General features: G+C 34.4%; 1 non-coding gene across 1 annotated transcript; it reads left to right on the plus strand.

Annotated features, from left to right (window-relative positions):
- Positions 1–16,995: 16,995 nt before the first annotated feature.
- MIR4275 (microRNA 4275) lies at positions 16,996–17,082 on the plus strand. Its single transcript, NR_036237.1, has one exon. It is a non-coding gene; the product is annotated as a microRNA 4275 (primary transcript).
- Positions 17,083–18,235: the final 1,153 nt, after the last annotated feature.

Consider the following 18,235-nt stretch of genomic DNA (forward strand, 5'->3'; position numbering starts at 1 on the left):
AGAAGATCGTTCAATTAAATCTGTGTAACATTTATAAAATTGATGAATAAAACAATAAAATATATTAGTCATTCTGAACTGCTTCAGGACAGTGACCCTTTTACTCATTTTAATCTCCAGTGCTTAGCTGAGATGTTACCTAAAGTAGAACTCTAAAATATTTGAGAAATGAGTGGATGAGTGAGTGATGCTGCTCTCAAATATCCACAGGACTCTATCTCTCTTGATTGAATTAAGTCTTTGCTCAGATGTCATTTGTCTATAGAGGCCTTTCTCACATGCAGTAATTATTATCCAAATCATTATTTTACTTTATTTTTCTCTGTACTCCTTATCCCAACTGGACATTTTATGTATTTGTTCATTTGTTTATTGTTTATTATTTATCTCCACCTATTTATCATCAACTTTATCAGGGCAGGGATTTAATAATTGTTTTTACTAGTTAACCACTAAGTCTAGAGGATTTAATGTGTCAAGGACATTGTATGTGATCACTAACTATATGTTGAATATAAAAATGAATGAATAAGTTAATGATTGAGTGAATAAATAAGTGAGTGAGTGAGTGAACAGTCTTAATTCTGAAAATGTTATCAGAAGCTCTTCTGTTGTTGGGGCTCAGAAACTAATACTCCAAAATATGGTGTTTTGGCATGCTGAGAGCCCTGAATTAAAAAAAAAAAATTGAAAGGCCTCAGAAATAAACTTCAGAACCAAGGTCTCTCTCTGACCTTTCCCCACCCTCTGTCTCTCTGATCATCTTACTTTTCTGAAACATGGGAAGGAACTCTCTCTGAAATTCATTTATCGGACTGAGAAGCTTCTTTATAAGACAAATGAAACTGTCTTAAGACCCATTTCTAGGAATCTCATCACATAACCAGGAAAGATTAGCCATCAGAAAAAAAGAAAAGCCTGGGAGCCATCGTCCTGCCCAGGTGGACTTTTCATCTATTCTTCTGAGGACAGCTCTGAGAGAGACTTACCTGGAAGACTTTATCTACAGAAGTCAACCTTTGTTTACAATCAAGTTCTGCCCTCACCTTCCCGCCACCTCCCCCAGAGCATAGAAGAATATTGTCCCACACCATTGTTCTTTGGGCTCATTCATTTTCCCTGAAAATTGTTTACTTCTATGCCCCTTGCCTTTCTTCCCCCTTGAGGAAGGGTTTATAAGCACTGGGGCTTCATTGTATAAGTGGGTGATCATTCTCCTGCAATTCCTCCATGCTTATGCATACAAATTTATTTAGCATGCATAAGCATGAGGGAATAACAAAAGTGAAACAGAAGCAAAATTTTCAGAAAGCAAATCACCATACTTTTTAGCATTGCTTGTAAACAACAGAGAAGAGATAACTGTAGGTTTAACTCTGTAGAGTTAGAAGACTTGTGCTGAACGAAGCTTCCACCTAGAGATTCAGAAAACTAATTTTGCATTAAAATCCATAAAAAGCTAATTTTGCAACATAAAATAGTCAAGATCACATTCATTGGAAAAATTGTATATGAAAAATGAGACTATGGATTGAAACATCTTTACATACAATGAAACCATACCCAAAGACTTGTCCACAAAACAGGAAAAAAGTGTAACATAATATTTCAAAATAATTAAAAGATATTGAAAATGTCATATAAGACATAAACAAGGGCTGGGTGTGGTGGCTTATGCCTATAATCCTTTGGGAGGCTGGGGTAGGTGATCACCTGAGGTCAGGAGTTGGAGATCGGCCTGGCCAACATGGTGAAACCTTGTCTCTACTGAAAATACAAAAAAATAGCTGAGTATGGTGGCACATGCCTGTAATCCCAGCTACTCGGGAGGCTGAGAGAGGAGAATTGCTTGAGCCCAGGAGGCGGAGGTTGCAGTGAGCCAATACCGTGCCATTGCACTCCAGCCTGGGCAACAGAGTGAGACTTCATCTCAAAAGAAAGAGAAAAGATATGAACAAGAAAAAATAAAAGTATTCAATTATAAAATAAATTATATAAACAAAGAAAAAATAATTTGTTATGCAGTATAACCTAAAAGAAACACAATTTTTTGAACAATGAAATAATGCCTTGAAAGAAATAGCAAATACGAGAAAAATAAACTTATAAAACTCAAAACAAAGAGAGAGAGTAAAACAAAACTAACCTGGAATGCAATATAACTGTTAAGTAGATTTTTAAAAAAATACTTGAAATTATATACTGAATTGGCACTTTGCATGCCTGTAAATACCTACTCAGCAAAACCAGTCAAGATATGTTTTTTAAAAATTATTGATATTTTTAGAAAAAAAAAATTTTCCATCTAAACAGAAAGAGCAAGAACTTGCAAGAAAAGAAAATCAGATAATCCTAAGACTTGTTAAGGGCAATATTTGCCACAAAGAAAATGGCAGATTATATTTAAGTTGTTCAAAGGTAGAAAATGTCCATGGAGTTTATAATGAGCAAAAGTATTATTCAAAGATAAAGTGTGCAGATAAGCTGTTATCAATATATAAGAACTTGAGCAATATTATTTCCGTGTGCCATTCCTGAGAAATATACTAGAGAAAGACCTTCAGATCAATAAATGAGTAGAGATTAAGAGAATAACAAAATGAAAATTAAGATTATGTAGTAAATTCTAGAACTAAAGACTAAATAAAAATTAAAACATAATAAATAACATCAATATCCTGTCACTATGTGTGTCACACCTTAAAAAGTGGAGGTGAAGATTGTGAACAACAACTGAAAAAATTTACTATTTGTAGCAATTATTTGGTTTATTTTAAGAATGTTAGTACTGTGGATATTTATAATGTTATTCTGGACCATTGTTTGTAATTTGCAATTGAAAATATGTAATCATGTGGTGTGTTAGTTCTCTCATCCTCTGTGTCTTGTAAAACCAGGATTCACTCTGTGTAAGAAAGAAAAAGTAGAGATAAGGTAATAGAGAATGTTCTGAGTACCACCTTAAGCCCTGCATTTGAGTTAAAAGTATTAAAGTTGAGTCACTTTTTGTTATTAGAATTAAGTCACTCTATTTTTTTAAAAAGCATGTATTAAATTGCTAAAGGACTCAGCAATCAATTAAAACACATGAAATGAAACACATAAAGTGTATTTAAATTTATGAGTTTAATGCATTTTTATAGGTACACATACACACAATAATATTGATTACCTTTGGGAGATAATAATAAGTACTTTTTAATCTTAAAAACTGGTAAATTAAGAAAAATAACCAAGCATTTATTTCATATTTTCTATATTAATTTTATAGCTAAATGAATTTGTGCAAATGAGTAGGCAATGAGGGAAAGTTTATTTTCGTAAAAGTATTATAGCAAAAAAAAAAATTAAAAGAAATTATAGAATTTGACTAGCAACAATTTCCCACTTCGAATTTATTATTGTGTCTCAGCATTGAACAATAATAGGTAAAACGATAATGAAAAGAGAAGTCCTAGACATTATGTGCCTCCTGATAAAAGCAAATCAACAAAACAAAAGTCTAGTCCTCTCAAATTAATTGAAAATTACACACGAGACTGGATAATTCTCATTTTTCTCAGGAAAAAATGTCACCATCCACCTATTTGTTCAAATAAAATGTCTAGGATTATCCTACATTTCCTTCTTTCCTTTTCTTTCTTGTCTTACATCTGATCCATTAGCCAGCTCCATGAGGGCAAAGACATGTCTGTCTTGTCACTGATATATCCCTATGGGATACGTTGACTATTGCAGACCAGGTTTTGGGGAAAAAATAAATATAAATATAAATATATATATATATATATATATATATATATATATATATATATATATATATATGTGAATGAGTAAATAGGTAAAAATACATTGGTCAGTCAAGTAATAAATTTCTTCCAAAAGTAATTATTTCCAGAGTAGCATTATAGATTTGTAGTTAACAGCTGAGGTTCCACTGAGTTCAAATATACCCTTTACTACTTATAAATTCCTTGATCAAACTCTTTGTGTATTATTCTTTCCATTTACAAAATGGCTATAATAAGGCCACTTAACTCATGTGTAGTTTGAAAACTTAAATGAGTTAGTATGTGTAAAGTACTTAGAATGGTGTTTTGGCACATAGTGCAAACTAAATTCAACTTAAAAACACACTATCTATACTCACATTACAGACAAAATTCCACTTATTAACATGATTTTAGTTAAAGTATTTTTGAATTCATAATCCTGTTATGAATGTGCTGGTTTTTATTTAAGTGTCCCTTGTTTCTGCTTCCTTTAGTACAGTTTCACATTATTTAAGGATGCTTTCTTTTTTTCTGAGCAAAACCAGGATCAATGGTGCAATATGCTGAGTACATTCTGACTTCTTCATCTTCCTCTTGATATTGAGAGTGCACGGTTATTCTGATTCCTTTATCCATGAAAGAAAGGGGAAGTGTCTCATGTCTGGATTAGGGAGATGACAATAGTATAAATAGGAAAAAATGAGAGTTTAGTGAAATAAGAAATATCATGTGGTTGAGAATCCACATGGTTACAGAGAGAAAGAAGAACCATGTGAAGGGAGGGAGGAAAGGGGAGAGAAACAGAGGGAGGGGGAGAGAGAGACTGAGAGAGAGAGAGAGAGAGAGAGAGAGAGAGAGATTTTAAAAACCAGGACTCTAGGAATAATAATGCTATTCACTGACATAGGTAAACAGATGAGACAGGAAAAAAATTTACTTAGGACTTAACTGGAGATTTTCTTGAATCCTTTGTCACAATGCTGTCTGAATTTAGGATTATCAACCATACTCTTGGGGATGATGTAAATAAAGAGTAGTAGAATTCCTGAGTGCAGGTAACATTTGAGATACATGGAATAAAAAAGAAAAAAAGGGAGAAGGCTTCAGAGAAAATAGCTTCAGAGAGTGGAAGACAGGTTGGAATAACAGGAAAAGAGCCACAAGAAAACATCTTCAGGGGAATAAGGAGTATTATTCCTTATTATTTGACAAAAAGAAGGAGGGATATAAAAAGTCAGCTGCCACTGGGAAGCAGTGCTAGAAATGGGTGCAAGGAGGGAACACAATAGGTCATTTGTAAGATTTGGTGACAAACCAGCAAGTCCTATTGGAAGAGCTGTGGCCATGGAAAAGACCTTGTAAGAACATGAGAGGTAGAAAGAGAAAAAAAGTCGGAGAAATTCGTGGGTACAACTCTTTCCCAAATTATAACAGCAAATTTTTAAGCTTGATGGGAATACAGTTTTTCTGTAGACAGGACTTATTTGGACTGGGATTGAGGATACAGGGAGATATTAAAAATCCAGAAATGAAAGATAATATTTGAATGCAGATCCTAGGATTTGAATAGAGGCTAGTCAGATTGAAGAAGCATTGTGGTATCTTAAAAAGGTCACTGGAATAGGATCCCAGAGACTAGATTCCCCTCTCAGCTCTGGTGCTAATCACCAGTGTGGACATAGTTCACTTCATCCTCTAAGCCTCAGTTTCTTTCTTCTAAAACGAATGTCTTGAACTAAATGATGGCTAATTAAGGTTTCTTTCAGCAATAGACGTGAGACATTGGTTGCGTGTTTGAAACAGTAGTTACAGAAGAAAGGAGGTGATTACAAACAGAAGTCGAAGAGAAGACAACGTGAGGGTTTAAAAATGCTTGGCTTAGTCAATTTACTGAGCTTTTATATTTTGTAAGAGTACAGCTATTATTGTATTTTGGAGTTCAGCAAAGCAAACCAAAACACATATATTCCATTTTCACCTAAATTACTGAATGGAAACAAATCTTTAAAGATGGGTATTTAGGTTAATTATTAGTTCATAGCAAGTTGACGATATTAGTGCTCAGCATATATACATTTCAGAATTTTTTTAAACAACTTTGGAAATTCTCAAGAATTATGCTAACCTCCCTCTTTTTCAAATGAGGGTTCGCAAACTTTATTTATTTATTTATTTATGTAAAGGGCTAAAGACTCTAGGCTTGGAGTCTTTACAGTCTCATTGCAATTGCACAAATCTGCCTTGGAAGCAAGAACAAAGCAGTAGAAAATATGTAAATAAGAAAGCATGGATTCCAATTAACTTTTACTTACAAAAACAGTCATAGGCTGGATTTGGCCTACAGACTGGAGCTTGCCAGTCTCTAGTCTATACTGCTGGCATATGTTAATTAAGAATTAAGTATGCTATTTTATTTTGGTTCATTTCAGATCTCTCTTGAGATCACATATATTTGATATGATAATATATAGTAAAGAAAAAAACCTAAAATATATCAATTATTTCATATTTACTCTCATATTTAAACCTCATAGCACTTTTCTGAAATAGAGACTATTTTTATTTACATCTGAAAAATTACAGTGCAGGGAGATTAAATAACAAGCAAGTTCACATAACCAAGTGTCAGAGTCTGGATTTGAAAATGAAACAATCTTTCCAATATATCATACTTCTTTCCATGAACAAACCCCTCTGGTGCTCATTTTTTTTTTTTTTTTTGGTGTATTCTGAAGAATGAGTCAAGCATTGGATGTATGCTTCTCTGAAATTAAGTTTTCTAACGAAGAGTTCCCCTAATTATACTACCAGGATGTTGGTGTTGAGTCTTTGAAAGGGAAAACTGTTTTATCTTCCAATTAGGAATGCTTGAAGTGATTAATGCTAATTAGTCTAGGATCTCGCACAATAGGTATTATTTTATAGGTAATATAGAAACTGAGAGTCTGGTACAAGACTGGCATCTGCTACTGACAGATGAAATTGGAGCTCCGTAGTTCCGTGTGAGATAATAATTCAGATTCTTGAATTTATTTTAACATTCTGTTGGTTTGGGCTGTTTCTGCTTGCTTTCTTTGTTTTTGCCACTATTCCTTTCTTAGAGACAGAGTAAAGCAAATTTCTTTGTTCTTCCCTCATTATATAACAGAAAGGAAAATAAATAAACCATAGAATTCATACTATTTTAGACTTTTGTCTTTTGGTTTTATACCCAAGTAAGGATAGCGCAAGGTACAAAAGAAAAGGTTCTTATTATTCTTTTATTACTTAACAAAATGAAGCATTATAACCCATGTTGTCAAAGATGTGGCCATTTTTAGGCATCTTTCTTTTCTCACTGTTGTGCTTCTCCTGGGAGAACAAAGTCATTACATAGTTCACTGCATAGTTTTTCTGTCCAAGCAAAGGAAGATTATTAAGGACTTATCTGACCAGGGACTCTCTCATTTGGGCCATCTGTCTTTTTGTGCTTTCTTGAGGGAATGCAACGAGAGAACTTTTTTCCCTTTTTTTTCCTCTCATTTAGTGTCTTATGAGATTGTATGTGAAGCCATATTTTAAGAATCTGAACAAGCAGAAACACTGCCACTTTGAACACTTTTTATTTTCCTTTGTGCTTGCCATTTCTATTGGAGAAATCACACATTTTTTTCTCTAATAATATTAAGAGAAAGGCTATTTTAAGATTGCTGGTCTCAAGGCCAATTTTGCTCTCTCATTTTTGTTCTTACTTCAAGCATGTGCTATTACATTTGATTTATACAGAAACCTAACCTGCCAGGTGGATACTCAGAGAAAATTAAATGGTATTTACCCACCCCCAAACAGTCAATTGCATCTCTGCAGAGGTGAAATATTTTGCCTCCTTGATAATCAACAGGAAGAAAAAAGGGAGTAGAGCTGGGAAGGGAGGTCCTAACCAACTGAAGAAAAATCTTACGTTTTCCATAGTATATCTAAGATTGTTTAAAGTTTCCTCTACTGATTATAGCTTACAGAGGTAAAAGGACAAACATTTGTAAACTATTATTTAAATAAAAAATAAAAAAAGATTGGCTAAATATTTTTGTATAGTATCAATGTTTATTATAGGTAATAAAACAATACTTAATAATTTATTTACATATGGAAATTAACACTGATATTGGAGAAACAAGTGTCAGGCTATAAAACTAATTTAATGCTATTTATTCAATTTAAAATCTCTGTACACCACTGCACCATTGAATCCCAGCACAATGACAATGAATGCTCATTATGATGATGCTGAAACTTAATTATTTTTAAAACTGCTTGGAACAGGATTCATTGTCTCACCTACTCATTCAGTAAAAAGTGCTAGCCATCTACTATGAGCCAAGTCCTATTCTAGTCCCTGTGGAGGTAGAAGAGCAAAAGACAGGTTTCTGCAATCGTAATGTTTTTACTTTTCACGAGAACATACCATTTTGTAATATCACAAGAAGATTACTCTCACTGGTGTAGTCAACAGATATTTATTGAGCTACACATGAAACTCTAAACAATTAAGATGCAATGGGATGGTAGAACAGAAATCTAGTTTCTAAAAAATATTAAAAAATACAAATAAATGGACATTTGGAATTCAAAGCTGCTACTCCCCTTAATAATTTAGCATATAATTATTGAGTAACCACAATGTGCTAGTCCTGTGGTAGGTTTTTGGACTATTGTACAAACAAGACAGATATGATTTCTGTCTCAGGGAGATAGATTATAGGACCATAGCATGACAGAAATAAATTCAAGTTTCTATGGGAACTCAATGGAACCTTCTTTGGGAGTTAACGAAGTCTCCTTAGTAAAAATGACATCATAGTTATGAGTTAAAAATGAGAGACATCAGTCAGGCTAAAAGAGGAATTGAGACTATTGGGCGTGTTTCAAGGTGATGCCTTAGCACAGCAAAACCCTGTAGGAAAGAAAGAGCATGGATGCATTTCTGAGCCTACAGAGAAACATTTGGCATAGTTGGGCCTTAGATTATAAAATGTGGTCTGAAGTAATAGGAGTAGAAAGATAAGCAGAGGTCTTGAAGTTTGTAAAAGTTCTTATAAGCCTATGTTATGCTGTTGGAGCTTTTTATTGAGACTATGAGAAAAACACAAGTATACTAATCAGATCATGAAATGACATAGTAATATGTCATTGGGTGACTTGAGTGACAACCAATTCACACCAGGCTTTTTCTTTAATAACTACCAAATACATTGAGTTGGGTCATTAGTGGCTACTTCTAAGCTCCATTAATACTGCTCATTTGACCACAGTTCATGTATTCACCTGACCCCAGCTAGATCTCTTGAATCTAGCAATAGAGTGGACATTAGTCATGTTATTGGCATCAAAATAGGGACAAGGTCTATAAATTTCTGCCTTCCAGAGTGCTGGAGTGATCCTGATTTCTCTACTTCCCTCATTTGCACTGTTTATCCCTATATTTAAATTATGTCGATACCTTAGTATTTGTGCATTCAATGCCTTTTTTTTTTTTTTTTTGAGATGGAGTCTCACTCAGTCACCCAGGCTAGAGTGCAGTGGCGCGATCTTGGCTCACTGCAAGCTCCACCTCCCGGGTTCACGCCGTTCTCTTGCCTCAGCCTCCCGAGTAGCTGGGACTACAGGCGCCCGCCCGCCGCCACTCCCGGCTAATTTTTTTGTATTTTTTATTAGAGACGGGGTTTCACCGTGTTAGACAGGATGGTCTCGATCTCCTGATCTCATGATCCACCTGCCTCAGCCTTCAAAAGTGCTGGGATTACAGGCGTGAGCCACCGCACCCGGCCTCAATGCCCTTTTGAATAAGTTAGTTATCATCAGTTTCAATGTTGAAATATTACCTCTTCCAAGAAGTCTTCTCTGATTTTCTTTTGGCTCATCTTACTCCTTCTTTGTGGTTACATTAAATCCCAGTCTTATCAATACTATAACACTCATCAAGTAGTTTTGTAAATAATTTTAATTCAACTTTTTTATTACTAACCTACACTGTCCAAGCTATAACCTTAACTTTCTTGTTGCCACGTACTTCTTCTAATTTATCTGTATATTCTTAGTACCTAGGAAAGAATCTGTCGTGTAGTAGGAGCTCATAAAATGTTTGGCAAAAGATTGTGTGAATGACAATTAATTTGCAAAAAAGCAAGACTCAGTCAGAAAACAGTTTAGGTTGAATCAGCAAGAACGTATAAGTCCCTTTTCTAATGGACTATACTCTGGAGGCAGAAAAGAAACTGAGTCTCAGTTACAATCTTGGAGGCCCTTACTCTTGCAATAAGACATGAGCAAATGGAATAATTCAAATTTACTTAAGGAGGGTGAATCAACGAATGATAGAATAGAGGTTGATAAGCTTATATATCTCTTCAACAACAAGTATTCTGCAACTCATCACGGACAAAAGTCTCTGCGGGTGCTTCAGGGTTCAGGTAGGAGGCTGTAAAATTCCAGTGGAGTCCAAGACTTAGGAGTGTCATTTTGAGAGGCCAAACCTGTGTCCAAGTTGCTAATTTACTGAGGGTGCTCTCAGGCTTGAGACCGCAAGTGATCCCATTTCCAATGGGGAATAAATAAGCCCCATTTGACCTTGAGTCTGCAACCAAAACCATTTTCCACAAGATCTAAGAGGAATAGCACAAAGAAGTGCCTCAGTGGAGAGGCTTATCTGCCTGCCAACATTGTCTTGGCAGTGAACCTAAAATTTTCCCTGTGGCTCAGCCCCAGCCCTTTGCAACTGAGGTTCCAGTTTCAAACTACTTGCACAAGGACCTAGAGGGAGTCTTAGCTAATGGGTCACCAACCTCTGTCCCACAGTAGATTTTAAGGAGACCTAATCTCAACCCCAGCGTCTCTCTTTTGGTATTCAAAGAACTATCCTGTCTATGCAGGGACCTGCTGGGAAATGCAAGTGCATCTAAACTAATGGGATCTCCAGCAACAGATCTCAAGGGTTCCCAGTCGTAGTTCTGGCTCCTCTCACTGCAGCTGAGGAACTAGCCCTCTCTGCAGGAACTTGCGAAGAGCTGCATACCCATTTGAGTCAAGAAGACAGGTTTGCCAAAAGCTGTCTTACAACAGATTTTGAAGGGGCTCTGTCTCAGCTCCAGCCCTTTCTGCTGCAGCTGGGAATCTATCCTGCCTCTGTAAGAACCATCTGGGTTACTGGGACAGTCCTCTGGGTTTGGATCCTTGGCCAGTTTTATATCGCAATACCTTCCTTAGGTCTTCATCAAGTACATTGGGGTTGGAGAGCTGGATCAAGTTTGGAGCCCTCATGAGACTCACAATAAGCCTGAGTTTAGAGTGTCCTCTAGTGCTGAGGAGACTGCAGTGGTCCTAGGCTCAGGGAACGCAGTAGTCATTCTGCTTAGAAATTTTGGAAAGCCCTGAAGGAGAATACAAACAAAACCAGACTGTAAAGAACAAAACAAATCCATAATCCCTCAATATTCAGGCATTGTTGCACATCACATTGTTGCACACCCACAAGCATCAAGAACATTCAGAGAAATAATATTTCACCAAATAGAAAAAGTAAGCTACCAGAGACCTTGAAGTGATGGAAATGTGTTATCTCTTAGACATAAAATTCCAAAAATCTGTATTAAGGAGGCTCAATGGACTTCAAGAAAACACAAAGAATCAATTAAGACATTTAACAGATAATTTTGTTTAAAAAAAGAGATTAATATGATAAAACAATCAAACAGAAATCCTAGATGTGAAAAGTACAATGAACTAAAGAAAAAAATGTAATAGAGAGTCTCAACAGCAGAATTATTAAACATTGAATAAAATTAGAAAGCTCAAAGACAAGCCATTTATAAATACACAGTCAGAGGAGAAGAAAGAAAAAAGAATGAAAAGGAGCACTAACAGCTTATGTGGTATATGAGACAACATTTTAAAGAAAATATTTGGGTTATTGGAGCTCAGGAGGGAGTTCAAAAAGGCAAAGTAGTAGAAATCTTATTAGAAGAAATAATAACAGAAAACTTTTCAAGCCTCAAGAAAAATATGAATATCTAGAAGCAGGCTGGATGAAAGTCACCAATGAGATTCAACCCAAATTAGAATAACCTAATATATATTATAATTATACTCTAAAAAGCCAAATAAATAGAGAGGATCCTGGTAACAGCAAGAGAAAATAAGCAAATAACATATAAGGGAGTTTCAATATACCTAGAAACAGACATCTCTGGAGCAGCCTTACAGGACAAAAAGGAGTGTGATGATATATTGAGAGTGTTAAAGGAAAAAAAATCTGCCAACAAATAATACTGTAACTAAAAAAGCTATCTTTCACAAATAAGGAAGAAATATGAGTTTCCCAAACAAAAACAAGCTGAGAGAGTTTACTGCTACTAGACCTGTAATGCAAGAAATTCTAAAGGGATTTCTTCAAACTGAAAGAAAGGATGCTAACATGTAAGAAGAACATATCTGAATGTATAAAATTCACTGGTAAAAGTAAGCATACAGACAAAGTATAGTTACTTTAATACTTACTCTAATACTGTAATCACAGTATTTATACTGCTTATACCTTTGGTATGAAGACTAAAAGACAAACCTATTAAAATAATTATAACTACATTAATTTGTTAATAGGCACCATACAAAGATGTAAAGTGTGATATCAATAAATCAAAATGTTGGAGAAAACAAAGTTATAGTGTTTGTTTTCTTTTATTTGCAATCACAGTTGTCAGTTTAAAACAACTTATTATAGCTCTAAGAGGTTTTTATGTAAGTCTCATGATAACCACAAAGAAAAAACCTATAACAGGTACACTAAAATAAAAATCAATGAATCAAAGCATACTACCAAACAAAACCCCTTAACTACAAAGGAAGACAATGAGAGTGGAAAAAAGAAATAAAATATCTACAAATCAATTACAAAACAGACATCAAAATACAGAAGTAAGTCCTTACCTATTAATAATTACCTTCACTGATTAGCTTGAATTCTCCATTAAAAGATATAGAATGGCTGAAAAGAACATTGGAAACTGTGCAAATATATAAAATTTAAACAACATGCTGCTGAATGACCAATGGATCAATGAAACAATTAAAAAGGAAATTCAAAATATTTCTGGAGACAAATGAAAATGAAAACACAACATATGAGTTATAGCAAATTCAGTTATAAGAGGGAAGTGTATAGAGAAAACACCTTCATCAAAAAGTAGAAATATCTCAATTAAACAGTCTGTTGTTGCACCCCAGGGAATGAGAAAAACAACAACAAATGACTCAAAATTTGTGGAAGAAAAAGTGGTAATAAATACTAGATCAGAAATAAATAAAATAGTGGCTAAAAACAAAACAAAAAATCATTGAAGAGTTTGCTTTTGGAAAAGGTAAACAAAATTAACAAACCTTTAGCTGGACAAACTAAGGAAAAAGAGAGATGACTAAATAAATAAAATCCGAGATTAGATAAAGGAGACATCAAAACTGATACCAGATGAATACAACATATCATCATAGAGTGTTAGGAACAACTTTATGTCAACAAATTGAATGAATACATTCCTGGACATATACAACATACTAAGACTGGATCATGAGATAACAGAAAACATGAATAGGGTAATGACAAGTAATGAGATTGAATTTCCAATGAAAGTCTCCCTTAAAAGAAAAGCCCAGGACCTGATGACTTCACTGCTGAATTCTACCAAACATTTAAAGAGGAACTAATACCAGTTCTTCTCAAAGTATTTGAAAAAACTGATGTGGAGGAAATTATTCCATATTTACTTTAGGAGGCCAGAATTACCCTGATATCAAAACCAGACAAGAAAAAGTATATAGAAAAAAAAAAAAACACCTAGCAGGCCACTCTTCCAGAAGCACATAGATGCAAATATCTTGAACCAAAATACTAGCAAACTGAATTCAAGAGAACTTCAAAAGGATCATTCACCATGATCAAGTACCATTTACGACAGGAATGCAAGGATGGTTTAACATACTCAAATCAATAAACATGTATACATCACATTCAAGGAAAGAAAGAAAGAAAGAAAAAGAAAGAAAGAAGGAAGGAAAATAAGGAGGACTAAAGACAAGAAACATACGATCATCTAAATAGATGCAGAAAAAGCATTTGATAAAATCCAACATTGTTTCACTAAAAGGAAAACCTAAAGAAACTAGGCATAGAAGAAAAACATTTCAACACAATAAAGGCCATTTATGACATACCCACAGCTAACATCATACTGACTGGAGAAAATTGAAAGTATTTTTTTTTCTAAAACCTGGAAAAGACAAGAATACTAACTTTCACTATTCAATGTAGCACAGGAAGTTGTAGCCCTAGCAATTAGGCAAGAGAAAAAAATAAAGTGTATCCAAATGGGAATAAAGGAAGTCAAATTGTCTTTGTTTCTATATATGTAATATCATATATAGAAAACTCTAAAGACGCCATGAAAAAATTGTTAGAATAAAAAATTTCAATAAAATCAAAGGTTACAAAGTCAACATGCCAACATCAGTAGCATTTCTATATGCCAACAGCAAACTATCTGAAAATAAAATCATGAAAACAACCTCTTTTACAATAGATACATAAAAATAAAATATATAGGAATAAACTTAACCAAAGAGAGGAAAGATCTCTAAAATAAAAACTCTAAAACACTGATAAAAAAATGAAGTTGACACTCATCAGTGGAAGGTCCATGGACAGAAATGAAATGTTCATGGATTGAAAGAATTAATATTGTTAAAATGTACAAACTACCCAAAGCAATCTAGAGAATAAATGCAATCCCTATCAAAATAGCAATGACATTCTTCATGGAATTTTGTTTTTAAATCCTAAAATTTTTGTTGAACCACAAAAGTCCCTGAACAGCCAAAGTAAGCTTGAGCAAACAGAACAAAGCTGAAGGTATTACATTACCTAACTTTAAAACATATCACAGAGTAATGGTAACCAAAACAACATGGCACTGGCATAATAACATACCTGTAGACTAATGAAACAGAATACAGAAACCAAAAATAAATCTATACATGTATAGAAAATTATCAACAAAGGAACCAAAAACACACGTTAGGAAAAGGACAGGCTCTTCAATACACAGTGCTGGAGAAACTGGATTTCCACATGCAGAATAGAAATAGGCACATATCTTTCCCAGTTACAAAAATCGATTAAAAATGTATGAAAGACTTAAATGTAAGACTTGAAACTTTGAAATTCCTAAAAGAAAACATAGGAGAAACTCTTCATGATGTTGGACTGGGCAGAGTGTTTGAATAAAACATCAAAAGTACAGTCAATGAAAGCAAAATTAGACATGTAGAATTATATAAAACTAAAAAGCCACTGAACAGCAAAGGAAATCATCAAGACTGAAGAGACAACCTACAGAATGGGAGAAAATATTCATAAACTATGTATCTGACTAGTGGTTAATATTCAGAATATAAAGAAACTCAAATCAATAGCAAAACAACAAATAATCCAGTTTAAAATTGGGCAGGAATGTGAATAAACATTTTGGGAAAAAAAAGTACAAGTAGCCAACAGGTGTCTACAAAAAATGCTCACCATCACTAATCATCAGGGAAGTGCAAATCAAATTCACAATGAAGTATCACCTCACCCAAGTTAGACTAGTTGCTATAAAAAAAGAAAAAAAAAGGTAACAAAACTTGGGGAGGATGTGGAGAAAGGAGAACTTTTATACACTGTTGGTGAGAATGTAAATTAGTACATCCACTATGAAAATCAGCATGAAGGTTCCACAAAATTTAAAAATAGAAGTACCAAATGACCCAAAAATCCCACTTCTGGCTGTATATTCAAAAGTAATGAAATCAGTATGTCAAAAAGAATCTGCACTCCCATGTTTATTGCAGCATTATTCACAATAGCCAAGACATGGACTAAACATATGTGTCCATCGATGAATGAATGAATAAAATAAATGTGATATATATATATACACACAATGGAATTGTATTTAGCTTTAAAAAATGAAACCCTACGACTTGCAACAACATGGATGAAACTAGAGGACATATAAAGTTAAGTACGGCACAGAAGACAGATACCACATTATCACACTCATATGTGGAATCTGAAAAAACCTGATCTCATAGAAGTGAACAGTAGAAAAGCGGTTCCCCAAGGCTGAGGAGAGTATTCAGGGAAGGATATAAGGAGAGGTTGGTCAAAGGGTAGAAAGTCATAGTTAGACAGGAATAAGTTCTGGTATTCTCTTGAAAATTAGAGTGACTAGTCAACAATAGTGTATTGTATACTTCAAAATAGCTAGAAGAGAGAATTTTGAATGTTCTCATTGCAAACAAATGAGAAGTGTTTGAGGTGATAAATATGCTAATTATAATGATTTAATCATTACACAAAGCATATAGTTATCTAAATATTACACTGTATCCCATAAATATATATAATTATTATGTACCAATTAAAAAAATAAAAAAATTAATAATTCACTTAAGGTGTGCAATGACCAACAAGTAAGATACGATGTACTTTCTATCTATAGAAGTTCTGATTCTGCACTTCTCAATTTCCATATTACAATCTATCTTCCCAGGTACTCCTGCTAACTGGGTAAGTTTAATCATTTAAGATAATTTAACAGTTTATGTATTTCATTCTCAATTGATAAAATGGAAAAATGGCTTTGATGAACTTGATTAATGTGAATCTGTTCTCAAAACATGGTCTATTGTTAGAATGTTAATACATGCAGAGAGAGGGAAAAAATGAGACAGAAAAGCTGAGAACCATATACTGGGGACATCTAGCTTACTAAGGTTTTTCTTCTGCATGAGGTCCTAGAAGAAGTTTTGTCAAACTGTCTTTGATCACAAACTTTTCACATAGTATTAGAAAGATATTCCTTCAGTATGAAGTACGTTTGAAACATTACAGGTACAAGATGTGAAATCCAGACTAGAAGTGCCACTGGAGGTCACAATGGGGGACATTGCCTTTGGAAAGTAGGCTGTGAATTAGTGTGGCTTATTCCAAGTCAGATGACCAATGAGTGGGACCTGAAGTACTGATCAATCATTTTGAAAGGCCCCATTTTTGCTTTATTGTTCCTGGTGACATTTTGCCTTAACTACACAATGGAGACTTCAGGAGGAAGCTGCTTTCACTACTTTTTTTTTTTTAATTACCATGAGGGTTAGAACATTTTTGTCCAATTACCACTTCTTTTTGCCACCTGAGCACAGTCAGCAGTCAGCATAAAAAAGTGATAATGGGAAGTTAATGTCTAACCAGGTCACATTTCGCTTCAAAGGAACAAAACACATACAAAATGCATGTTTTTTTCTGACCTTGGCTTTCATTTCCCTCTAACACCTGACATAGAATTTAGCAGACATTGATATCAGCCATAGCAGAAGATAAAGCAGTGACAAATATAAGGATATAACTGGAAAAGGCCCTATGTTGGACTAAGAGTTTTGGATTCTAATACTTCATTAGTTAATCTCTCTCTCCCTCTGAGTGATTATGCATGGCCTGTCTCATTCTCACTGTCAGAAAAAGTCTATTTTATTTGATAAGTGAAATTATTTAAAGATAAAGGGGTGATTTGAAACTATTATAAGCCAGGGTGTGGTGACTCATGCTTGTAATCCCAGCACTTTGGGAAGCTCAGGCGGGTGAATCACCTGAGGTCGGGAGTTCAAGACCAGCCTGACCAACATGGAGAAACCCTATCTCTACTAAAAAAAAAAAAAAAAAAAAATTAGCCTGGTGTGGTGGTGCAAGCCTGTAATCGCAGCAGCTCAGGAGGCTGAGGCAGGAGAATCGCTTGAACCTGGGAGGCGGAGGTTGCAGTGAGCTGAGATTGCGCCATTGCACTCCAGCCTGGGCAACAAACAAGAGTGAAAATCCGTCTCAAAAAAAGAAAGAAAGAAAGAAATAAGGAAGGAAGGAAGGAAGGAAGGAATGGAGGAAAGAAGGAAGGAAGCTATTATGAAAGCATAATTAGGATGTTTTACATTGCTGTTGTAATTCCAGGCAACAATGAGATCAACACAGAAGGAAATTAATAGGCCATTTTTATAACTCCTAGACTGGAATAACTACTTTATGTATATCATAGAATAGAATACTCACAAAAATACTTCAAAGCAAATATTGGCTCCATTTTGCAGATGTGAAAATTAGAGGTCCTGAAAGTTGGATTAGCTTGCCTAACATAACTTAGCTACTAAGTGAGGCATCAGGATTTGAAGCTAGACATGCTTCTGCACTAGATCACAACTTCATTGTCAGCTTTTCTAAATACAAAAATGACTGAGGAACAAAGAATAGTTTTTAAACATTATATGAACAAAAGAGTGACCAGAGATGATCACTTATACTAAAAAATGTTGTTAGATATTATGCAGTGAAAATGTTCCTTTACCAAGTAATT

Source organism: Homo sapiens, chromosome 4, assembly GCF_000001405.40.
Source record: "Homo sapiens chromosome 4, GRCh38.p14 Primary Assembly".
NCBI lineage: Eukaryota > Metazoa > Chordata > Mammalia > Primates > Hominidae > Homo > Homo sapiens.